The sequence below is a fragment of the Homo sapiens genome, chromosome 11, assembly GCF_000001405.40.
Source record: "Homo sapiens chromosome 11, GRCh38.p14 Primary Assembly".
Classification (NCBI taxonomy): domain Eukaryota; kingdom Metazoa; phylum Chordata; class Mammalia; order Primates; family Hominidae; genus Homo; species Homo sapiens.
This window is the reverse complement of record NC_000011.10, coordinates 22,445,446-22,472,645: the sequence shown is the minus strand read 5'-3', so window position 1 is coordinate 22,472,645 and position 27,200 is coordinate 22,445,446. Positions and strand designations below refer to the sequence as shown.

General features: G+C 38.1%; 1 long non-coding RNA gene across 1 annotated transcript in view; it reads left to right on the top strand.

Annotated features, from left to right (window-relative positions):
* Window positions 1-26,974, top strand: part of LINC01495 (long intergenic non-protein coding RNA 1495) — a 46,348-nt gene extending 19,374 nt beyond the window's left edge. Inside the window, exons 3-4 of the long non-coding RNA NR_120583.1 lie at window positions 4,701-4,799; window positions 26,879-26,974. This is a non-coding gene — a long non-coding RNA (long intergenic non-protein coding RNA 1495). The remainder of the gene's footprint in view (window positions 1-4,700; window positions 4,800-26,878) is intronic.
* Window positions 26,975-27,200: the final 226 nt, after the last annotated feature.

Genomic DNA, 27,200 nt, shown 5'->3' with positions numbered 1-27,200 from the left:
GTACATCTTCTGGCTCCTAGATTTGTTCATCCTAAATCTCGTAGTTTAGTCCTCAGATCTTCTCGTCGCCATTCTTGTATCCTCCTGTGAAGGACTAGCAACTTCCAGACTTCTTTTTCATATGGCTCCTGCTGGTTTAGGCCACTGGGAGGCACTGGTGGAGGACTAGAGGACTAGAGGAAGAAAGAAGCAAACAGTGTCTTAACAATGTCTGTACATGATAATGACATAATATTGTATTTTTCATCTATGAGTATGATTCGAAAATCAAGATTTAATCTTTTCATCACAGATGGAAAATTTCAATGTTTCAAGGGGCTGGTTAGGTCACATAGATGAATAAAGCAGGCACAGTAGACACCATGGAGAATGCTCAGCCTATCTAGAGAAGATGAACTAACACACAGCTCCAGAAAACTACTGCCCTGTGAAAAGCTGGCCTATGCTGCTGACTTCTCTGAATTTTTCATTGAAAGGAAACACCTAGAACTGCATGTGAAATTTTCTTTTTTCTAAGTGATAGAAAGCATTTCAATTTTTAAAAACCACTATATGGCCCAAATGCAATTTAACTGTGAGAGAAATCTGGCAGGCAGTTTATGATTCTGGCTTTGGAACAACAGCTCACCTCTAGGGAGGAAAAGTACATTTAAATATTCACCATGAAGTGCAGGGTTAAAGCACTCACCAGAGTACTTCCTTTCCCCCACTGCCCTGCACATCTAATATGTGGTTATTTCAAATAATCATTCTATCTTGCTACAACATCTTAACATAGCTGCTTAAATATTGTACTTTACTTAGTGTATTTAAACACAGACTAAGCATGAGCATACAGAGTTTCGGGGAGTTAAAAGGGCAACACTTGATAAAGACCATTAAACTGAGTTGCCAAAAAAACCAAACAAATGCGTTGTAAGTACATGGCATACCTTCCGTTATTATCTACAAATAAACCCTGGTAATGAGGTTTGGGATTCCTCTCAGCTGCATGTTGATGATAGATTCTCTGTGGAACTGACTCTAACCCATTAAGCAAGCTTGTTCCTGCCACCATGGCTGTTAATTTGACAAGACACTGTCACATTAAGTAGAACAAACATGTTTTTGCCCAGTCAGCCATCCAGAACCAACATGGCTGTTACTCTAACAACTGGATATTGATTGGAATCACTCACCCCTTCTGACCCTCCACTGGGAGGTGGAGACCAGGCTCAAGCTGACTGAAGATTTGCCTCATTGGCACACATGGGTAGCATATTAAGGATAGCCACAAATTTTAAACCATTTAGCTCCTTGTCATGTTCAACCTTCAGGCACTGTCTGGTTCTCAGTTTCTTCAGTGGAGCGATAGGCTCCCAATAAATCATTGTTTATTAATTTTATAGATCTACACATCCATTGGTGAGGATGAATTTGTGCTGTTTTAGCATTTACAACTTCATTAATGCAAAACATCATAAGGCACAAAAAGAAATTTTACAAGAAGTCCAAAAGATAAAAAATTAAAAATTTTTGAATTCTAAAAGGTAGGATGGAGTCTTCCCTCTCTTTTTAATCTATGTGATTGAGAGACAGCCACTTAGTTTTTGAATGACCAATCCATTTAACCCAGATATAATCGTAAAAGACTGTAAATCAAGCTTACTGAAAATAGAAATGATATTTACCTGATGTTAACTGTTTTTAATCTGGCTATTTTTAACCTGCTTATTAATATGGGTACCTAACATTTAGCAGAGATTGCTTTTCACTCAGTCATTCATTTACCACAGATAAATTTTAACATGTGAAATTGCTGGGGTATCATTTACCTGTGTCTGTGTGTCAATCTCGGCATATGTTAGGCCCTGCTCTGTTCACTAAACTTCATATTCGTGAGAGAATCCCATGGTTGAAAAGGACCTTAAAGGACATTTAATCAAATTGTTCACCAGACTCCCTTGCCTGCTCTGGAACAGTCTCAAGAAGTGGGCATCCAATGTTTGCTTGAACACCTCCAGTATCGGTAAACTCATTAAACTCATAACTACCTGGAGAATTCTATTAAAATATTAGACATAAATCCTCCGTTTTTCTAGTGTAGGTCAAATCCTTCTTCTGCAGGAAAGTCATTCAAATATCCAAAAATAGTAACGGTGGTCTCTTTCTGTCTTCTTCAAGAGATATGGTTTGGATTTATGTCCTCACCCAAGTCTCATGTCAAATTGTAATCCCCAGTGTTGGAGATGGGGCCTGGTAGGAGGTGATTGGATCATGGGGGCAGATTTCCTGCTTTGATGCTGTAGAGTTCTCATGAGATCCGGGTTTTTAAAAGCGTGTGGCACCTCCTCACATCTCTCTTCTGCTCCAGCCATGTGAAGTGCATGGCTCCTTCCCTGCCTTCCGCCATGATTGTAAGTTCCCTGAGACCTTCCCAGAAGCTGATGCTGCTATGCTTCCTGCACAGCCTGCAGCACCATGAGCCAATTAAACCTATTTTCTTTGTAAGTTACACAGTTTCAAGTATTTCTTTATAGCAATGTGAGAATGAACTAATACACCCAGCTAAACACCTCAGTTCTTTGAACTATTTATCTTATAGCAGCTGTCTGCAAACTGTGATCCAAGAGCTGTATCCAGCCTTTCACCTGTTTTTGTAAATAAAGTTTTATTAGAACATGTCCATTCAATTACATATTTTCTAAGCTGCTTTTATACTAGAATGGCAGAATTGACTAGCTGTGAGAGAGAGTGTACAGCCCCAAAATATTGAATAACCTGGCCCTTTAAAAAATAGTTTGTTGGCCACTGTCTCATACCATAGTGTGTCAAGAACCCTTGTCATCTGTATTCTGGATGTCTTTCAGTTTTTCACTACTGCTGTAAGACTGTGACCTGCAAAACTTGAGAAGCTTGTATCAATTGTTCTGGATATGTTTTCTATTAATGCAGAGAAAAGTCCTTTGGCTTACAAAAATTCTCCATCCTAAAGCACAAAGAAATCCTCAGTTAAACCATTGAGATTAGCCTCATTTATAACAGAAAATATAAATTTTTGCTGTTTTTCTCCAAGTGTATTCTTATTTTATTGTTCCATCATTGCTTTAAAATATACTTTTGAGTACCTGTTATTGCAGAGCATTGTTCTAGACACTACATAAAATACTAAATAAGACAGAGTCCTTCCCAAAAGAGTTTGCATCTGGTTGTATGGAGGAAAAATTTATAAAATAACTGATATATTTGGGGTTTTAAAAATCTCCCTTCACTAGCTTATCAGCTCCATAAGGTCAGGCTGCTTTGTCTGCTTGGCTCTATAATGTCTCGCCAGTGCCTAGAATGGTGCTTGGCACATGGTAAATTATCAGTAAATATTTGTGGGATGAGGGAAATGATTAGAAGAGGGAGACAAAATATAATAAAATATTAAATTATGTGATAAAGACTATACAAAAAACAGGAACCCTGGGAAGAAATAGATCAGCATGGTCTGGACATAGAGCTGGATGGAAACTTCATCATGGAATCTAACTTCTCCTTTAAAAATAATTATCTCTTTTACAATCTGCAGATTGTTACTCCTAACCTGCATCAGAATCCTCTAGTTCGCTTATTAAAAGGAGAGATTCTTGATGCTTATGAGGACCTCCTGAGCCAGAATCTGGCTGCCATGCCAGAAATTATTCTTATGAATTCTAAAATTTGAAAACTACCCCTCTCGACAGAAAGTGACATGGTCTCTGTGTGAATACCTCTAGTGATGAAGAACTGACACTACCACAAGCTTCTGCATTTGTTAGCTTTAGTTGTTGAAAAATAATTTTTTACTGAGTTGCAATCTGCCTCCTATCATTTCCAATGATTGGTCTCAGTTGCATTCATTAGAATCACAAGGGACAAATTTATTTTTTCTCTTTCATATGACAACTCTTCAAATGTGGACAGTTCTATTAAATGTCTTCTCCTAAATCAACATGATGTAGATGCTCTTATCTTTGTAGTTGTTGTTCACTAGCAGAACTTCCCAAGATCTATCAGTTACCCCAACATTCTGCTGAGGTGCCAGAGGAACCTGGCACTCAGAGCCAAGTAAGTGGTTTGGGAATCTGCAGATGAATCTCTTTTCCTTCTATACCAAGTGAAACAGTCTGCCATAACCCTTTCATCATTCACACCTGAAGCCAGAGTTTGTACCTCCCCCTCTAGCCCTTTATGTTCAGTCTCAGCCGACTCATTGGAAGGGGTTGAGGAGAGACGTGCTCATAGATTGTGGATTCCCATCTCCACACCGTTCTTAACACTCCTGTCAAGTTCTATATTTCCCAACATCCATCTTAAAATGTGTCTCCCAGAACAGACTCATGTAGAGGTCAAAGTCTAAGTCGGAGTTGGACTTCACCACTAGTTAGCTGTGCAACATTGGGTGATTATTGTTTAAATTCTTTTAGCCTCCATTTGCTTAATCTATAAAATATAAATAATAGCACTTCCTCATATGGTTGTAAGAATTTAATGTGGTAAAGAAATTAACATAGTACCTGGTGGTATACAGTGAGAAATAAAGGTAAAGCAATTAACATAGTGCCTGGTGGTATACAGTGAGTTTTCAATAAATGTCAGCCATTATTACTACCTTCTTGGTAGAATGAGACTATTACGTCCCAGCAATCCTGGGAGTGTTGTAATATTTTTATTTACATTCCTGTCTCCTTGTGCAGATGGTGAACACAGGCAGGGGCCACATCTGACTTACCTCTAGCTCCAGGTACTAAAGAGCCACTGGGGAGAGCTCAGTCATGTAATCCAATACTATCTAAGTAAGTTTTCAACCTCTCTAGTATTTTGCATATTACCAACCCTCTACTTTGTGCTTCTAAACTGGGCCAACCTAATACATGCAACTCTGCGGGTAACCAATTTTAGAAAGCCACCATCACAACAGCCTCTTCTTCATAACTGTCTGAAATCCAGCTTCCCTGCCCCTGCCCTTGCACCTATGCTGAGTCCATCTCCCTGTCTTACACCTGATCCCTTGGCTTGGTCATACATTTTTAGTTCTGTGCTCACTTATGGACATATGGACTAGATTTGAGCTTGCTCTCTGACTTGCCCATATTCTGACCCTTATGAGTAGCCATGCTGGTTTCCTGAGTTGCAAAATCCTAGAGCCTAGAGCAGTACCCTGTGTTGGACATCTGGCCAGCACTCCAGCCATCCCTGCCCTATCATCCCAGAGAAAAGCAGTCAGGGAATAAGAAAGATGCCACGATACAGGGTTGGCTACACATCAGACTGATCTGGCTCACCATGTTATTTTAGTTTCAACCCTTTTGCTTTGCAGACAAAGGGTAAGAGCAACACGTCATTAATATGTTATTGCATTATCAGTGATGAAGTGCTAATAAAGTTAGTTCAACAAGACATGGGTTACATATAGGTAGGTGTCAGAAAATTGTATCAGCATCAGTTCTGGAAGTCAGGATGATGATGACATCAGGTCTTAAAATCAAACTGCAGGGGCTGAATCTGACCTCCTTTGTCTTTGTGGCGGTGGCTCAACACCCAATCAATCTTACAACAGGAGTGTGATGCTTTGCGCAAAAGGCTGGCGCAATTCAGCTGAGTGGGCGGGTTGATGGAAAGTGACTCTGGCATTACTGAGTTCAAAAGGAATTAAGGATTCATGAGAACGCTGCACAGGCAGGCAAGCATAGATCCCCGGATGAATGCCGAATGAGTCACAAGGGAGACCTGGCTGGGCTTCGAATCCCACATAAGCAAGGAATTGCTTTTTGATGATGCCGAACTATAAATATCATCACCTCAGAAAACCAGGTTCTCCTTTTACAGTGTCAGGAATCAGCAATGAGGACTATAAGACCAAATGTGTACGTTTTTGACAAACATAACGCTTTACATGAAGAACACTGCCACTCTAAAACCAGTTACAAGGCAATTTTGAATTTTTCTTAATATTTTAATTGTATTTTAATCATAGTAAAAAAATCATGGGTGGAATTCAAAAAATTTCCATTTTTTGGGCCACTTTACTGGCAATATAATTACCAGCATTTTCTCTGGTCTTACTCTGGGTCTGGTTATGAAATTGCTAATGTCTAAGTATCACATGTCATAAAAATGAGTGTGTTTCAGGTTTGCCTGCCACTTTTTCACTCCAACTCCTTAGACTTTTTTGAATTTCTTTCTTTCAACCATGGATGGAAAACAAAGAAACAAAAACTGTATTTTTTGCAAAAATTTTCCAAAAGGCATTGAAAACAATGTGTCCAAAATCCTTGGGTTTTAAATATTTGTCTCTGTTGTGCTTGTCATGAGCAGCTCTTGTGGAATCCCTCACTGCAGGACTTGATGAATTAGTGCAGACCTTGCTCACAACCAGGACAGGTGTTAAGTGCTGTATCCTTGTGACTTATTCAATTCTGCAAGGGTGGATGGGCCTTATTTTCAGCAAAGCTGGGCCTACATAATTGCCAAAATAGAAGAAGTTGATATCCTGCTTAACATCCAATATTTTTCTGTAGTCATCAAATGCCTGGGATAGAGTGATATGCATCAACACTGGAGCTCTATGTATAAATTTTTAAAGTATATACAGAGACACATACATACATAAACCTGATACGGTACCATATTCTCACCATTGCACTTTCAATATAATGTGTCAAACAATGGGAACTTAACAAGACCTAATTTAGGGGAAATAAATTATGTATGTAGAGACCTGGATCAACATGGCTATACTCAACTGTAATGTTCAGCAAGCTGATTAAACCAAGGCAGGTCTGAGCTCTAGACTATGTGAACAGAATTCCATTAACAGGGCCCCTGCATCATCTGGGAAGAATTCATCTATTTTCCCTGCTCTCTTCCAGTTTCTGACCGTTCTCTCTGTAGTTATTTGTCAATTAAAAGGAAGGAGACAGTGCTGCTGCTACACTGTGTTCCTATCTTCACTAACATCTACTAAGAAAATTTCAGCACCTTGCCTGACAAATGCAAATAAATATTGTATCATTTTGATTAATCACAGTAATATACACAGACCACTCATCTTTTATTAAAAAGAATCACTGGCTTTTCAGAACTTTCTGGCAGTTTTTATTGTTTTCATCCATTTTATGGTAATGTAAAGGAGAGTCATGCTACAAAAATCGAATATTTATCTTTTCCTTGAATGCAATTTACACCAGGTAAACTCCTCTTTGATACTTTAAAATTACTCTGTTGGCTCCTCACCTGGGATTTTTATAATATAAATAAAATATTCTCTGCATTAAGACTTAGGTATATAAATAAATAAATTTATACATTCTTTTCCCTGAAAAGAGTTACAGATCAGAATGTACAATACAAGATATATTTTTTTCTTTCAATCTTCTCTCACAGCATGCCTATACATTGTACATTAGAACCAAGTTTGGGCCCTGCTAAACTACATCTGTGCATGTGACATATATTAATGAAAAAATCTTATTATTTTCCTCATAATAGAAGCACATGAAAATTTGCTTAGAATCTCTAGAAGCAAATAATAGAAAAATTGATATCTAAGAAAGTTGGTGGAATATCAGAATAGCATTGAAGGCCTTTTTGAGTTTTAGCAAAAATGAAAGAAAGAAAGAGAGAAAGAGGAGAGAGAGAGAAAGAGAGACCCTCCTTCAGCAAGGTGTTTAGAGGTTTAAGCTTTAAGATACCATTCACCATGCGCCGTCTGGCCTCAGTCCATCTTCCCAGTCCTCCCTCTCCTCCTTACCCCTTCCACTAACCTACCTCTCCTGTCCTATTGGCTAATGTTTAGTCCCTGAATATATGCACTATCATACCACTATGACTTTGCCCATGCTGCTCACTATCTTTCCACCTCCTCACTTCTTCTCTACCTACTGGGGTCCACTTATTTTCTGAGACTTAATTCAGATCTCGCCTTTTCTGTGAAATCCTCCTCAAGTATACCTTGTTCCACATCTCCTACTCACCCAGCTGAAAAGAATGTCAGCCCCTGGCACAGCAAGTACAATTTGTCTGTGTCCTTCAGCCCCTAGTACAGGAACTGGCATAAGCAGTGGATTATGAACAAATTAACCAATTGACAATGAACAAACCTTTCTTCAGTCTTTATGACCTCTTCTTTTTGAACCACATTTTACATTTTATTATTTTTGTTTTTTTAACTTTTATTTTAAGTTCAGGGGTACATGTGCAGGTTTGTTATATATATAAACTCGTGTAACAGGGGTTCATTTACAGAATATTTCATCACCCAGGTACTAAGCCTAGTACTGAATAACTATTTTTTCTGCTCCTCTCCCTCCTCTTACCCTCCACCCTCAACTAGGCCCCAATGTATGTTGTTCCTTTTTTTGTGTCCATGAGTTCTCATCACTTAACTCCCACTTACAAGTGAGAACACGTGATATTTGGTTTTCTGTTTCTGCATTAGGTTTCTAAGGATAATGACCTGTAGCTCCATTTATATTCTCACAAAAGACAAGATCTTGCTATATAGTATTCCATGGTGTGTATGTCTCACGTTTTCTTTATCCAGTCTGTGACTGATGAATATTTAGGTTGATTCCATGTCTTTGCCATTGTGAATAGTGCTGCAATGAACATTCGCATGCATGTGTCTTTATGGTAGAATGCTTTATATTCCTCTGGGTATATCCACGGTATTGGGATTGCTGGGTTGAATGGTAGTTCTGTTTTTAGCTCTTTGAGGAATCACCACACTACTTTCCATAATGGTTGAACTAATTTACACTCCCATCAATGGTGCATAATTGTTCTCTTTTCTCTACAACGTTGCCAGCATCTGTTATTTTTTTCCTGCCCTAATTTCCCAGTGAACTCTGCTGCTTATTGCTGTTTTAAGTGTCCTTGTCAAGCCCTGGACTTGTCCCTGTTGCTATAATATCCACATTATCCCCAGTATTAGGCCCTCTACAATTTCTTTTGGAGGTTTCTGACATGTCTTAAGACTATAGAACACCATACTGAGTAAGAGTTAAGAAACTGACAGTCTGGACCTTAATATTTTACTTATTTACTCCAAGGCCTAAGACAACCACTATTTATTTCTGAGTATCTGAATACTCATAAAATTAGGAGGATATACTGAGTGTCTAAGGTCCTTTGCAATGCAAGAAAATCTGTGGCTGGTAAGTTTTTCAAGAGTAGTGCCTCTGGTAGGAATAACTTCAGCTTGATAAAGATTCAATTTATTCATTTATTCATTCAACAAATATTCAGTAAGTACCTTTTTCTTGTCAAGCATTTTTTCTAAGATCTGGGAATACAGCAATAAGCAAAATGTAAATGTAAATACCATCTATGTAGCTTACATTCTGATAGAAGTAGAGAAAATAAATTATAACTCATCTATGTATATGAATGTGTGAATGAATATTTATTCTATCTTTCTATAAAATCAGGCAGTTTTAAATGCTGTAGAAGGAAAAAGTTTAAGCGCAGATTAACGTGGAGAGAGAGGGACTATTGTTCAGGGCAAAGGTAGAAAGATAGATGGATCTATGATTTCATTCAGTGTACCCAGTGAGAGAGAGAAAGAGAAAGTGTGTGTGTGTGTGTGTGTGTTTGTGTGTGTGTGTGTGTGTGTGTGTGTCCCAGGCAGATGGGACAGCAAGTACAAAGGGCCTGTGTGGTCGGAGTACGACCACTTGCTCAAAGAAGATAAAGAGGTTAAAATGCAACAGAATTAAAGAGTGAATGAGAAATGAAGTTAAAGAGGTTGAGGTAGAAGAAATAGGTCACTAGGGCCCTGTGGGCCATTGTAAATGCTTGGCTTTGAGTGCTGAGAGACTGTTGGAGGAATTAAAATAAATAAAATAAAATAAATAAAATAAAAATACGGTAGAATGCTTTATATTCCTCTGGGTATATCCCAGAGGAATAAAGGAGTGACAAGCTCAGATTCAACCCCTTGGAAAGATCACTGTAGATGTTGACTTGAAAACAGACAAGAGATGGTCAGTGAAACAGGTAAAGATAATTAAGAGGCTATTATAATAATCCACATATAAAACTACAGATAACTTGGACTTGGGAAGAAACCATGGAAACGGTGAGACACTGTTGGATTCTATTCATATTTTGAAGACAGAGCTGACAGAATTTCCTTAGATTATTTATGTGCAGTGTAAAGCAGAAAAGGAGTTAAACATTGCAGTAGTTGTGGCCTTAAAAGGTAAGGAGAGAGTTGGCACTCAGTGAAATAGGGAAGAGTGCAAGAGGAGCAGGGAAGGAATTCAGGAGTTTAGTTTGGGACAAGGTAAGTTTGCAATGCCCCTCGAATATCCAAGTGGATGTTTCAAGTAGGCTGCTGGGTAAGAGTCTGGAATTCAGGAACAAGTTCTGTGCTAGAGATACAAATTTTAAAATGATTAGGATAGAGATGGCTTTAAGAGGTCTCAGAATGGATGATATTACTCAGGGAGTGACTATAGATAGAGAAGAGAATAAATGCCCTAAATACCAAATACAGTCCCAGACACTCTCAGAATAAGAGATTAAGATGATGAGGAGAAATGGGAAGGAGTGATGAGTGAGGTAGCAAGGGAGCCAAGCCAACATGTTCCAGAAGCCAAGTGAAAAGTGTTTCAGGAAGCAGGTGGTGTACCATGTCCAATGCAACTGAGAAGTAAAATGTGATAAAACTTGAGTCAACTCTCAATTCCCATTGAATTACTGGAGTCTTTCTGACTGTGGTTGTTTTAGATCCTGAGCAGATATACATGGCAGCCTAGGCCAGATATAAAGAGCCAACAGAACCTCGCCTCAAGGCCTCTTAAATTAGCATGAGGTAGGGAACTAGATAATAGCCAGCGTATAAGCATTCCTTTCCACCATCATCACCATGACCATTACAACATACACACACACAAAGCTGTCATATGTAATTCTAAATGCAAAAAGCAAATGAACTTTGTAACAACAAAGTGTAACTTTGGTGTGAGTTATAGCACATCAAATGTTTGATGAATTACAAAGTATAACTTTGTAGCACTAATTGTTAATGCTGCTATTATGTTATTACTATTAACTGCTTACATTGACTGAGTGATTAGTAATTATCCGGCACTATATTAATCATTTTACATATATAATTTTGTTAAATCGTAACGATGCCCTCTGAGATTGTTATTAGTATCACTCTGATTTTCAAATGAGTGTATGAAGCCTTAGAGAGGGGAAGTGGCTTGTCTAAGGTCACATAGCAAGTAACTGGCAGATTCTGTTTCAAAACCAAAAGTCAGCTTCTAAGTCTCTCAGCCAAGAAATAAGAATGGGAATGTTCAGTTCTCCTAAATGACCTGTCCTTTGGATGATACATGTACTTTCAACTGTCTATTACCAGATTTTCTTTTCTGTGATTCCCAGTAGGGATGGGTAATCTGGAACTAACTCCAGAAGTTTCCTGATGTTTAAAATACAGGCAATAGCTAGCTTTGCCATTCTTTCTTAGACAGTTAGTCATTGCTGAAACAAAGTATTCCATGGTTAGACTGACCCATGAGTGGCCAAGAGCCATTTGAGTGGTAGCCTTCCATTCCCTCAGGACTGTAAAGCTGACCCAAATAAAGTTATTAGCTAGCATTTCTAGAATTACATCACCATGTGTTTACCAGCCTCTGAGTTTACTTTTAAGAAATCATACTCCAGAGGTTAGATACCAGACCTCTAATGACTGGGCAGTAGTTGGAACTTTACTATTACCAAGTATTGATTTGGTAAGATATGATAGAATTCTTTTTTTTAAGTGACTAGTGGTTGAGATGCCTATTTGAAAAAAAAAAAAAATCCATACAGTAGAAATGCCAAGCCATTTGTTAGAGAGGGAAAGGAATCACTCAAATCCCTTAATAGACAGAAAGAACTTTAAAGTGTCTACACTATTAAAAAACTGATTTAGAGCACCTTTCCCCCAAAAAGAGACATACATATAAGTTCAGGCTATCAGTTTACCACTTTGTTTGCTATATAAAATGTTCTTGGAAAAATCTTATTTCATGGAGAATATAGTGAAATGACACTAAACTCCATGTTTGATGAATATCAAAATACCTTTCTTGGACTGTTTTCATTATTCTTTATGCTCTTCCATTTCCTATGACAACCTTGACCTGTTCAGGTGAACCTTTGACGTGTCAGAGAAGAGAAAGAACAACTGACTCATTCTCAGCAAGGCAAATATGGCTTGAAATTGAATTTCCTAACCAATGTGACAGGTTGTACTGAGTCATCCATAGGCTCATCTGGTGTCCTCTATTCTTCACCGAGACTTTCCACATACCATTGGTAAAAGTCTCACTGGGATCAAGCATGTGATGTCTAGCTGTGATTGTGTGTGTGTGTGTGTGTGTGCATGCGCAGGGATGTGCAGAACCATTGGCCTTCACTAGGAACAAGACTAGGGGTCCTAATTCATTAACAGAACAGTCTACCTATGAGAGAGAGAGTTGCCTGATACAATTTAAATCTGGGCTCTGATCCCATCTTTCCTTCCTCAGAGGCATAAGGTAACCAGAACACCAGATTTGAAGCCAGATACAACCAGGTCCAAATCCTCATTCTGCAGTCTTATTCCTGTAGCATCTTAGAAACTCATTTACATTCTCTTAGCTTTGGGGCTCTCATTTGATCAAGGGGAATAAGTAGACTCGTGGCATGTGAAGTGTACTTATATATAGCAAGTGAACACATGCTCACCCCTTTATTTTGGACATCAATGAAACTTGAGCAGTAGTATCTTTTGTCACTTTTTTAAAGATTATCATCCTGCTCTAGAAAATAAAGTTATCAAGCTGTTCTTTATAAAGTGAGAGCATTTAACTCATAGCTAGTTCTAAATTTAGAAACCACCTCAAAATCAGGTCAAAGCACTAACGCAAAGGGGTTTGTCCAGCTTTAACCAACTGGAGCTTTATGGGATTCGAATTAAAAGGTGGGTGTGCTCAGGTGCCTCAAAACAGCTACTGAGAGTGAATGAATAATAATAATGGCTAACAAATATTAAGTGCTTATTACATTAATCATCATCTGCTGCTGCATAACAAACAATGCCCAAATGTAAAGCAACAAATACTTATTATCTCTCACAGTTTTTGAGGGTTATGAGTCCAGAAGTGGCTAGCTGGGTAGTTCTAGCTCGGGGTCTCTCATGAGGTTGCCATCAAGATGATGACAGTTTAGTCATGTGAAATCTGTAGGATCTGCTCATAAACTCGTTCACATGGTTGTTGGCAGGATTCAATTCCTTGCTGGTTATCTCTGAAGGCCTTAGTTCCTCACCACGTGCGCCTCTCAATTCATCAGCTAAGTGTCCTAGTTACATGCAATTGGTTTCTCCCTGGAGCAAATGACCCAAGAGAGCAACCAGGACACAGGAAATGACTAGCACAGGAAATGATATGTCATGAAAACTTCCATAGCCTATTCATTGGAAGTAAATCACTAAGTGTAGCAGCTGTCAATGGAATGTGAACTAAGCTCCACATCTTAAAGAGAAAAGTATTGAGGAATGTGTGGACATATTTGAAATCCACCACACCTATCATATGTTCTGAAGCTATTCCAAGTATGTGATATAAATTATTTCTATTTAGTTTGTACCATAATTCCATGAGGTTAGAAATTATCATATTCCCCATTTTGTAGATGAGATACATGAAACTTAGAAAGTTTGACATTCACTCAAAGATGCAATAGTGTTGGGCTTCTAAACCAACTAATCTGAATCTAGAGATAAAACATTTTGAATCATCAAAAAAATTAGTTTACTTCAGTAAAAATTCTAATATTTTTCTTTGAAATTGATAATTCATATCTAGATTATTTAGCATGCTTCAGTAAATAGAATTTTGGATTAAGCAGAATATATCATTTTCTGACAATGCTAAGTAATTATTTACTGTTTATGAATTAGGATGTATTGTGACAGTTAAATCTGAGTCTACAACATTTTTCTGTATGGCTTATACTTCATTCTCAAACAACATCTATCCCAGAAGACTATTATTTAAAATATAAGCAGTAGTGAAGGAATTAAGCCATGTATTAAGGTACAGAAGTTAAAAGTTCTAAGAGATTCTAATGGAGTCTGGTGTAAAATTATCTTAGTATCTTTTCACTCCTTTTTTTTTTAATGCTCACAGATTTATTTCCAATTATCTCATAAACGTGAGGGGAGAAAAGAGCCCCAGTGAGAAATAACTTACACTGTCATTTAAGAGCTGCTTTTCTGCCAGCAATTGCTTGAGTTTAATTTACCAGGAGACAAAATTGCAGTTGTTGAGACAGTCAAAGCAGAAGGGGGAAGAGTCAATGATCCAGATCAAGGCTTCAGTAGCGGGCAAGAAAAATGTCAGAAAGATGTTAATAGGATAAGTAGAAGAAGTGGGAGGGGAGAGGGAGGGAAAGGAAGGGAGTAAAGAACGGAAGGGCAGAAAGAAGTGAAGGAAGGAGGACAATGAACAAATGAATGTATGTATAAGAGAACAGATAAAGGAAGAAATCGGTGCCTGCTATGATCTGATTTGTCCCCCAAAATTCATGTGATGAAATTTAATGGCCAATGTGATAGTATTAAGAGGAGAGGCCTTTAAGAAATGATTAAGTCATGAGGGGGAAACCCTCATGGATGGAACTAGGTTCCTTACAAAAGCTTTGAGAGAGTGGGTTCAGCTTTTCTTTGCCATGTAAAGACACAGTGTTTTATCTCCAGAAGATGCAGCAACAAAGTGACATCTTAGAAGCAGAGAAACTTGGCTCTATTAGAAACTCAACTTGCCAGCATTTTGATTATAGACTTCCCCATCTCCAGAAGTGTAAGAAATAAATTTCTGTTGTTTGTATATTACCCCATGTCAGGTATTTTGTTACAGCAGAAATAATGAATGAAAGGAGGGCCTGAAAGTAAAATAATGGTGTAGGAGAATGCCCTGTGGTGTCAGGGAGAACGCACAACTTTTGTGCAAAAGCTTTCAATGGACCTCCATTGTCTAGAGCAAGTATGAATGAGCAAACTACTGCCTACTGCCTACTGCCTGCTGCCTGTCCCCAAGAGGGCTAACAGCTGAATGGTGACAGCCAGAGCTTGCCAGCAGCCTGGGGAGTAAGTTATTTATTTCTAAAGTGGGATCTTGTAACTGCCCAATAGGTTCTTCCTGCCTGCTGCACAAGTAAAGACCACAGTATTTCAGTAAAGAAAGAGTTTAACTGATATAAGGCTGGCCACACCATGTGGGAGATGGAGTTATTACTCAAATCAATCTCCCTGAAAATTTGGGGATGGAGTTATTAAGTACAATTTGGTGGGTAGAGGGTTGGAAAGTGGGGAGTTAGGTCAGAGATAAAATCATAGGGAGTGGAAGCTGTCCTCTTGCACTGAGTCAGTTCCTAGGTGGGGGCAGCAAAACCAGAAGAACCAGTTTATGGATATGGTTGGTGCCAGCTGATCCACTAAGTGCAGGGTGTGCAAAATATCTCAAGCACTGATCTTAGGTTTTACAATAGTGATGTAATCCTGAGGAACAATTTGAGGAGGCTCAGAATCTTGCAGCCTCCAGCTGCATGGCTCCTAAACCATAATTTCTAATCTTGTAGCTATTCTGTTAGTCCTACAAAGGCAGTCTAGTCCCTAGGTAGGCAGGGGGTTTGTTTTGGCAAAGGGCAGTTATCATCTTTGTTTCAAAGTTAAACTGTAAACTAAGTTCCTTCCAAAGTCAATTTGGCCCATATGCAGGAATGAATGAGGATAGCATGGAGGTTAGAAGGAAGATGGAGTCAGTTAGGTCAGATTTCTTTCACTGCAATAATTTTCTCCGTTATAATTTTTGCAATGAGAGTTTCAATCCTGAGGGCACAGCATAGAATCCTTCCCCATCCAATTACCCTTTTCTGCTTTAGACAGTACCATTTTTATGTTGCTTTATCAATAAAGGGAAATATTTTAATTCAGAAAAGATACAAGACTAAAATCTCAGTTGTTTATCGAAAGCTGAAGATAATACATGTATTCATCAAAACTAGTATAATGAAGATTCATTGAGATAAAACAAGTAAAGTATTTACCACAGTATCAATGTCAGCTGCAATTATTATTATTACTGTCTATATTGCAGGCTTTTGAAATACATTTCTCTAGAAAATGCTCCAAAGTTAAAGATGAATATATAGTTCACAAGATATCCAAATGCTCAGTTTATGGCTATTAACATCTTTAAGCCTGCTCAATAAATGGCACTTCTGTAATTTCCCCAGGATCTGAATAAATTAAAAAAATAAGACCAAGGAGTGACAGGTGGTTGCCCATATATCTCATTTTGACAGATGAAAGTTGAGCAGGGCCAGTTGATGTGTGTATCTGGGAATTAGGCAGACTTACCAACCTAATGTCAGCCTCAGTGAACTGTGACAAGCCCCCTTTCCTGTCCCTCACAGGTGAAGAGCCTAGCCTTGGAGGAGCAGAGCAGGAAGACTATTTCAAAAAGTAGATGAAAGTAGGAGAGCTGAGTATGCGTAAGCCCTGTTCACTCTTTTCAAATGTACTAAGCAGATAAGTCACCTCTCCTCCTTCTCTAGATTGGAGTAACCCAACATGCAAGAAAAATGTCAGAAAGATGTTAATAGAATAAATAGATGAAGTGGGATGGGAGAGGGAAGGAAGGGAATAAAGAAAGAATGGGAAGGAAGAAGGGAGGGAAGGAGGACAATGAATGAATGAATGTATTAAAAGAATGGATGAAGGAAGTAATGGGGGCCTGCTATAGTCTGATGTGTCCCCCAAGAGATAGACTAAGGTCTGCAGATTCACTGAGTTCCCTTCACATGGAAGCAAACAACTAGCATGCTAGATGAGTGTTCCCCAAAACAGATTTTTACAGAGAAATTCTGAATGTTCCCACCCCTGGGTTAGGCCTCAACTGGCCAGAACATTGTACCTTGGAACAAAGACACCAAAAGGAAATTCAAAAGTTCTTAAATTCTCTAGATTTAATACAGTGTGTACTCTATAACAAACTTTTTAAATTTTAGTAATATGCTTTCTTTTTTGCAACATACTTTTATTGGAGAGTTCATTACTAGTTTTAAAACCTGAGGAATCACTTTATTAAAAAAATCTAAAATATATAACCAAGGAAATAATTGCATTAACAATTACCACAATCAGGGAGAGCCCTAAACTAGTAACGTGAATATCTGATTTTCTATCCCAGTTCCACCATTTCTTAGCTAAATATCCTTGACTAGTCATTTAAACTCTAAATCTCTGTTATCACATCTTTAAAATGCAAAGAATACTAGGATGCGTAAGATTTTTCACATGCTGCTGAACAGATCACTAAAGGATATATGAGAAAGCACTTTAAAGGTGTTGTGAATGTAAATACGGCATCTTCAAGAATGCCAAATGTATTTTAATATAATAGAAAAAAAATTTTTAATCCTGTATATTGGAAACATAGACAAAAAAAAAGCATCAGTGCTTTAACAGTATGTAACAACAAAATACAAAGAGAAAAGAAAAAAAAAGATTCCATTTCCTCCCACTCATAAATCCATTAATTTTTCATGATGGGCTCAGCCCTGGAGAGATTTTATATAGAAGAGGAGTTTTTCATTATGCTGTCCAAGGACCAAATATTTGGGAGTCCACAAATAGCCAAACAATTGGATATTTCATATAAATGTAAAACCACTATATTTATCCTTTTTTAAAAAAAAGTCATACTGAATCTACCACAAGCTTCTTCTTTCAAATGCTTTTCATTCAAAAATGAAACAAAAGACGTGCTGCTGCTAAGAGCTTCAAGGTCTAGAATGCCTGTGTGCTCCTTATTATAATTCCTTTCTTCAAAATAGGCATTTTGTTTCCCATAAGGACAAGCCTTGTATTCACTCAGCTCTAGGAATTGATTAATGTCTCGGGATGTGATGTATATTTAAGCCAAACTCGTGGCCTATTAGCAATTCACAAACCATGACTTGCACAGTGCTGTGCTCAAATCTATTTTGCATTACAAAATGTTTATAAATCAGCCTCTATTCCCAGAATGTTATATAAACACGTCAACAAATCACATGTGTATTAAGGGGAGAGAGGTAGAAGGTTGGGAATTCATCATAGCCTCAGGCTGTTCTGGGACAGATTAAATACTACCCTGGCCACTGAGGTCCCCACTAGGTAGTCGTTCAGAATGAACTGTAGATAAATTGAACTTCTCTTATTGGAGACAAGCCAGCAGCTCACCCAAACATGAAAAATTGTATCCCCACACTAAAAAAATTAAACCACGCTAAACACAAGCTTTTCATTTCTGCAAGACTGCAGTTTTCCTATTTCTTTAGAAAATGAAGGTATTTTATGGCTCAAAAATAAAAGTCACAGGAAGTAGGTGAATAACAGGGAGAAAGGTTGGTGAGGACATTACCTATTTGTATTCCCAGCACCCGAGACATTTTTTGTGGGGAGAGCTGGGAAGGGGGCTTCAGATTAATTGAATATATATAGTCAATTACATATATTCAATTTTATATATATATATATATATGCATACACATACACACATATATGTAATCACATATTTTAAATGTAGAGGATGCCAGTTTGCCTAATACATATATATAACGTTTTTAGCTGGTGAATCATTTTTCCTATTATATTTGGAAACTTAATTTAAAACCATTTCCTCTTATATTTCCTCTTATATTTGGAAACTTAACTTAAAATCATTTTCCTCTTATATTTGGAAACTTAACAGACAACAGAAAGTGGATAGAAGAAAGACCCCTAAGCAAAGGGCTCACAAATTGTCCCTGAACCCACCCAAGAAATAACTGCATAGATTATGGTCTTCAATGGGATTTAGTCTCATACAACCTTCATTTTTCTCTGTTAATCTAAAAGTATGCAATTGGACATAAAATGTAAGTGGTTTCTGTGCAGTGGCTTGTGTGAAGATATGCTTTGATATGAATCAGCTCTCCTAAAAGGTATTTTAGTCGATTCAAAGGTTCATCTGATGTAAAACTTTAGCTTATAAAATAAGGTGTGTTCTTTTATGTTATACATATTTTACCACAATTTTTTAAAAAAAGAAAAACTGGTTTCTCCTGGAGAAGTATACACACTAACTTATAAAGGGGGAAATGTTTTTTGTAATTGGATCATAGAATTGCAGACTTTCAGAGCTGAAGGGGCTGGAAACTCATCTGCTGCAGTTTTCCAGAATGCAATTCTACAAGCCAGTTATAGTTTTTACAATAATAAAGAGTTCCGCAGTTGTAGTCATTAGTCCTGCTCATCGCCATCCAATTTTTCTGTCCTCTAGGCTCTTCCTATCTTTCTCCCTCTTAGTAGACCATGGTCATGTGACTACTTCTGACCAGTGAGTTGTATGTAGAAATGAGATGCATCATATTTGGGAGGTAACCTTTAAAGACTGCTTTGAGACTCTCCTAAACTTCTTTTCTTACTAGCAAAGTGACCTGCAAGTTTCATTATGGCGTCTACTCTACTAGCTGGTATCCCTAAGTAGCCATGAAAAATAGAGCTTTTGTCCAGGGTAGTTAAACCATGTTAGACATATCATGGGTAGGGGGAATATTTCTTTTTTTAATCCAATGAGATTTTCATGTATTTTTTTATTTCAGCATAGCCTAGTCTATACTGACTTATATAATGGTCAGTTAAGTTTGAAGAATACAGATTTACACAGGTTTCTTTACTACGTAAATCTACAAGGCTTCAAAATGCTAATAGGAAACATAAGTCATCAAGAGAGGAATATATTAGGAAGCATTTATCACACCTGTTTGACTATGATAATTTTTGTTTTGCTTTATTTTAGAATTTGTGTGTTGTGCAGAACACGTGTTAGGATGTCAAAGATCACAGTGTTCCACAGAGCAATTAGGGAATCACTTTTGGTCCAATTTCAGCACTTTACAAAATAGTTTAACAAAGTTCTAAGGAATGAAGGTCTTCTCCAAGGCCATCCTCAGCGAGGTAATCAGTGAGTGGCAGACATGGGAGCTGATGCCTCTTGGTCATGCCCTGGACCTAGTAAAGTGGAGTAGCTTTACAGGTATACCAGGTGTTTGCTAATGATCACTTCTTTTTTTTTTTTAAGACTGAGTTTTGCTCTTGTTGCCCAGGCTGGAGTGCAATGGTGTGTTCTCAGCTCACTGCAAACTCCGTCTTCTGGGTTCAAGTGATTCTCCTGCCTCAGCCTCCCAAGTAGCTGGGATTACATGCACCGCCATACCCGGCAATTTTTTTGTATTTATCAGAGATGGAGTTTCACCATGTTGGTCAGGCTGGTCTCGAACTCCTGACCTCAGGTGATCCACCCGCCTCGGCCCCCCAAAGTGCTGGGATTACAGGCATGTGCCACCACATCCAGCCAATGATCAAACGTTTTACAGAAGTTTTTAAAGAGCCACACCAGTGGAAACATTCATAACACCTTACCACCCAAATTAACATCAACTCAAAGTTATGTTTGGCCCACAGAGAATTAATACAAAGAAATATCTATAAGAAAACCTCAAAAATTTCACATCTAAGGCAAAAGCCAGAGATTACAGAGTTAACATTTTTGGAGCTGAGGGGGAAAAGTCTCTCAGCTTAGATCTTCTGAACCAGAGCTCTACAGCTTTCTGCAAAAGATCATTTCCCCTGCTAAAAACCTGGCCATAAGAACCTCCTTTTTTTGGCGGGGGGTATTATTTGGCCAAAAGTGAGATTTCAGCCAGAAACAAGGGGAAACTGAACTTGTTGTTAAGCCACTGAAGACACCTCTTTCCTTTGAAATAACTTATTTTGACTGATGCTAGAGGCGCTGGTAGAATTTCCTTCCCTTCATAAAATCACTGTAGTTGCAATGATAGCTCTGAAGTTGTGGGAGTAAAGATCTGCTAAAACATCATTTGGATTTAATCACAATACCAGAGGAAAAGAATAAAAGCTGTGTTTTTTTTTTTCAACAACAGCAAACTGCTGGATGGATATTGCCAGAAATTAATTCATCAAGAAAAGCTCCTAGAAATCTTTTTTTTTTCCAAAACGTACCTTTTGTGACAGCTTCAAACTTGATCTCTGAGCTCCAGTGAAGCACAAATTACTGTGTGGCATTTTATCTCACAGATTAGAGAAGGTCCTAAATAGCATGCTGTGCCTTTCTTAAAATGCTGTCCCCAATACAGGTTTTTTTTTTTAATCTTCTTTGAAATTTCTCATATTGCATTGGGTTCTTCACCCAAGGGAAATGACATTTTTAGTTAAAAAGTAATAAAGTATAATTAAAACATAAATAATTTAAAAAGATTTTGATATAAGCCTGAAAATGGGCATGTGAATAAATTTGCACCATGTCCCAGGAAGTATATTGGTAGACATATTTGGGAAGGAGGAATTCACTGCCTGGAGGGGTCCAGACGTAAGGGCTAGTACCCCAAGTTCTCCAAGTACTCCCTTGAGGTTTCCAGATAAACTGCTTTTTTAGTCAAAGAGCCTCTACAGAAAGCCTGCTGCTGCATTGCCTCATGGAGAAGAGAGAGCCCCACCACTTCTAGTCAGCTGCAAAAGCCAGGAGTCCCACCACTTCTAGTCAGCTGCAGAAGCCAGAAGTCCCACCACTTTTAGTCAGCTGCAGAAGCACTCTCTCTGCCTCAGCAAACACAAGTAACTGCAGTATCTAACCAGAGAGGACCTTCCTACAAAACAGGAGGTGGAATTAGGATAAACAGGACTTGGGAAAATAATTGATTTTACAGAATGTGGCTGCTGTCATAAATGGCTTCCTTGGAGGACCTAAAATACAGAGGGAAGCCGCAACTAGAAAACGGACAGAAGCAGTAGACCTGAACCTGGAAGCCTACAAACCCTTTTTCTGGTAACATTTCATTCACATATCCACCTCCCTTCCTCTCCCAGCAATAGGATACACACAAAGGGGCTACTTGTCAAACAGCAACAATTATACAATGACTAAGCATCGTTGTCTGCCTTCCACATTAAAATGTGATTTAAAAATAAAATCTAATTGGAGGCCCTTTTCTTTCTCCTGAGTTGTGTCTAAACCTTGCAAAGAGGTTCATTTCAAAGCTCATTTTGCCTTCTTTTGTTCCTTGTGACCCAGTTCTTTCATTTTCTCTTTGTCTCTGATTTGATAAATGTATTCTCAGGAAAATATCCTGGATTTAACAGTTATTCTTTCTAGACCTGTGGCTTCTAAAGAGATAATTCGTCCACAATAATATGAAGTAATGAATCTCTAATGGTGAGCTTTTTAGATTCACCGTCATTGATTGATAGGGAGAGAAGGTAGACCTATCTGCTAACCAAGCCATGAGTATTAGGTATTCACCAGTTTGATTCAGTCTCTCACTCACTCATTTATTTAACAAACATGTTATGAACTCCAGTAAACCAATCACTGCACTCATTATTGATACAGAGATTCTTAAAAAGACACAGATCTTGATTTAAAGAACTTTAGAGTAAAAAAGACGGATATCTAAACAAATATCTATAACACAAAGCAAAAAGACATACGACATATGATAGAGGTAGCTGCAACATACTATTAAAGACAGAGTGAAGAATAATTCTGATTAGGATGATTCAGGCCTCAACAGAGCCTTGAAGTAGAAGTTGCAGCTTCATACATGGAGTAGAAGGGTGGTGCAGATGCACAGAACTGAGAAAACAGCATAAGTGATGAACAAGAAGCCTAAACATAATCTGGTCAAAGCACAAAAGGTCAGATCATGGGAGTCGCTGTGTGCTGTGCTAAGTACTTTGGGAAAGTCTATTAGTAACTGTATTAGTTTCCCACTCATGCTGTAACAAATTACTACAGACTGGTTGACTACAAGCAACAGGAATTTTTCTTCTGCTTTTCAGAAGACCATAATTCCAAAAGCAAGGTGTTGGCAGGGCCATATCTCTGAAGTTTCTAGAAAAGCATTCTTTCTTTCCTCTTTCTAGCTTGCAATTCTTAGCATTCCTTGGCATGTAGTTGAATTGCTCAAATTCCTGCCTTCTTCTTCACATGGCTATCTTCCTTCTGTGCCTGTCTCTGTATCTCTGTTTTCTCTTATCAGGACACTGGTCATTGGATTAGGGCTTACCTTATTTCAGTATGGATTCATCTTAACTAATTCCATTTGCAAAGACCCAATTTGCAAATAGGATCACATTCTCAGTTCTGAATTTCCAAGTGGACACAAGTTTTAGGGAGACACTAATTAACTCAGTACAGTAATCAATGTCCTTTACCATATTTGAGGCCAGTGGTCAAATAACCTAACTGTTACAACTTCAAGCAGGCAAAGTTTGTGTCTAATATCTCTAATAAATTTTCTCAGTAAAGACAAGAATACTGGCTACTTCAAAAGGAGCACAGACTGAATAGTCAGTAAGACATGGAAGGATGAAGCTGAAGGGAAGTGTCAAGGATAACGAAGGTTTCAGTTGGAAGTGATAGGATGATGATGATGACGATGATGCTGATGATGAAACATAACATTTGTTGAGAGTTTCTTATATGCTGGGCATTTTTCCAATTGCTAGTACTTTATTTATGCTCATAACAATGCCAGTAAGAAAGATTTTATCATTTTGCAGGTGGTAAAGTGTTAACAATTTTTCAAGTGATAAAATTGAGGCACAGAGCAGTTACAGTCTGCCCAAGGTCACATAATAATCAATGTGAGTGCTGGAAATTGAAGCCAGGTGATCTAATTCCAGATCCTGTGACATTAACCACTACAGTAGAACTGCTTCCCTAAGAAACACGGTGATATTATATTGAACTAAGAGAACTCAGGAGACGTCCTATTAGGGCAGAAGATTAAAAGGGGGGAGAAATACATGAATTGGAAGAAGATTCAAAGAAATGTGTTTCCTAGCATTTACTTCACAATTGCAATTACATTTGATGCATTAGGATGAGCATTATCTCCCTAACAAAAATGTAACTTGGGTAAAAGATCCAAATGTTCAGAATGAACACTGTGTTACAACACAGCAACATATCAGGAAATTTTAGCATATTATCAGAAGCAGAAATAAAATTATAGAAAACATTTTTCTGAGATTCCCTTTGGACTTCCTTTTCAAATCTTTATCTCCACATTATGGCATAGATTCCATGTTTTGCTCTTCTGCAACTTGCATAGGTGACAGTGGAGGCCTTGGCCACTAGGATGAAGGATTGCAGTATCACATTCCACATGGCTTTATTTTCTTCTTTGTTAATTATCCTACAGAGTCACCTTATCATCAGAAAGGGTTTTGTATGTTGCATCTCTCTTTCTTTTTAAAGTCTTTTTTAAGCACAGATCACCTCTATTTAGCACACACTCTTCTTTCATCACAACAGGACTCTTTTTAAAAAGTCGCCTGTTCTCACTATTTTTACTCCTTAACTTCACTCTTCTATCTACAGTAATCTGCCTTCCACTCCCCTAGAGTAAGGCAATTGCCCTGCCTAGATTACGAATGATACTCTCAAGGGTGGCTTCTGATATTTCTATAGTATTTGACATTATTTCCCAAAACTTTAGTGGTTTTTGGAAGCCCCTTCTGGCTTCTCTCTTACCTCTGTAGTTTCTTATGTCCCAGTTTCCATTTTGAGCTCTGATTTCTCTGCCCATGATTTAAATCAGTGGTTTTCAAACAGGTTATTATGGTGTCCTAAGAAAAGGACGCCATGGAATAAAGATTTTGATAGGAGGCCTTAAAGACGAATCTCACTGATCTCTAATTTATAGTATTCATGTCCTTGAGTAATCTCCTCTTCCTGAGGGTCAACTGGACTTGCTGACTCTGATATAGTTTGGTTCTGTGTCCCCACCCAAATCTCCTCTTGAGTTGTACTTCCATAATTCCCACATGTTGTGGGAGGAATCTGCTGGGGATAATTTGAACAATGAGGGCGGTTTTCCCCCAGACTGTTCTTGTGGTAGTGAACAAGTCCCATGAGATCTGATGGTTTTATCAGGGGCTTCCACTTTTGCATCTTTCTCATTTTCTCTTGCCACCACCATGTAAGATGTGCCTTTCACCTCCTGCCATGATTCTGAGGCCTCCCCAGTCATGTGGAACTTTAAGTTCAATTAAACCTCTTTTTTCTTCCTAGTCTCAGGTATATCTTTATCAGCAGCATGAAAACAGACTAATACAAACTCCCTTCTAATGATTGGAATACCACAGATGTGATATGATGTCACTTCTGAGATTAGCCTATGAAAGGACTGTGTCTTCTATCTCTTGGATTGCTCACTCTGGAGAAGCCAGCCATCATGCTGAAGGTCCATGTGACAAGGGACAGAGGCCTGACAAAATCCATGTGAGTGAGCCTGCAAGAGGGTCCTCTGCAAGATAATCCTTCAGATGACACCACAGACGTAGTTGACAACTGGACTGCAATCTAATAAAACACCTTGAGACAGAGGCACTCAGCTAAACCTAACCCTGATTCCTGACACATGGAAGCTGCAAAGTAATGACTATTTGTTGTTTTAAGCTGCTAAATTTGGGATTGATTTGTTATGCAACAATAGACAGTAATACGGGACCCTACGTGTTAGGTTTCATCATTCAGGTCATCTTTAATATCTTACTTTCACCCCCCACTGTTCTTCCAATAGTCATTTTAAATTCCCTAAAATTTACTTTCTTAATATACCTTGGATTTATATCCCTTATCTCTACTATCACTCTGTTAGTTCGGGCCACCATGACTTCTGCCTTGATTATTTTAACACACCCATAAATAGTCTACCCACATCTATACAATACAGAGGTGAAGAGCTCAGGTTCTTATTTCAGACTGCCAAGTTTGAATTTAACCTCTGCTACTTACTATCTAGGTAATATTAGACAAATCATTTAACCTCTCTCCTTAGTTATATCATCTATACAATGGGAATATTAATATTAATAGTACTTACTTCATGGAGTGGTTCTAGCATATTAGCTTTTGCTTGTAACATGCTTAGAACACTGCCTGGTATACTGAAAGCTCTTAATAAATGCTGTAGTTATTGAAAGGCAGTCTAACATAGTGGTAAGAACATGGACGGCCAGCCTGTTGGATATGAGTTGTTATTCTGCCATTCATTATTTGAGTAAAGCTGGAAAAATTGCTTTACAGTTCTGTGTCTCCATTTCTTTATCTGTAATATTGAGATAACAATAGTACTCAAGAATAAAATTGTCATGAGGATTACATGAGTTAGTGCCTAAAAAGTAGGCTGAAAAAGACTGGCATTGAACATTACCAAGTGTTTTCAATTATTATTATTGCTGACCATTCTGCTGCTTTTTGATTCATTCATTACCTCGCAAAAGTGATATTTCTTAACATCAGATCTGATTATGGCATTCTCCTGTTTAAACCTCTTTGATGGTCCACCCATTACCCACTACTTTGCCTAACAAAACCTTCATAATCTGGCAAAGCTCTCAAACCTCAAGTGTCTCCACTCTTCCCCACTAAACCTTAAACTCCAATCAGACTAAGCTGCTTGACCTTCCTCAGATGAGCCATGTTCTTCTATATTTGTCTGTCGTTGCAAATGCTCTTTTCTAGCATAAATACCCTTCCTACTCTACTGCCCTGGCTAACTGCCACTCATCCTTTCAAAATTCCATTAATAGTATTATATTTCACAGGAATCTTCTCTACCATCACTGACATTCTGTGCAATACACACGTATACACACACTAACACACACACGTAGGTGGATCCTCCCGTAAGCACCCATAGTTCTCTGTGCACACCTCAATATCTAATATCTAAGAGATTGTAACTAACTATGCACATTTCTATTTCTCTCCACTAGACATGAACTACGGAGTCCCCATCCAAGGCACTGAATGAGAACATCTGGAACACTCAATAAATATTTCATCAACAAATAAATGAGGGCTTTAATTTACCATTTCCTTTTTTCTTTGAGAAGCCATATGAACTTCCTTTATTTTGTTCCTACAGTTGACTTTTGTGGCACTACTTTGATATGCGGGTGGCAAAAACCCCATATCAAAAGGGTTCTTTGTAAAGATCAAATAAGAACATGCTTTCTAGACAACTAAGAACCCCAAGAGGCTCCAGAGACTTTGTACCCATGTGTTCAACCCAACTCAGGGGAATGAAGTCATAAC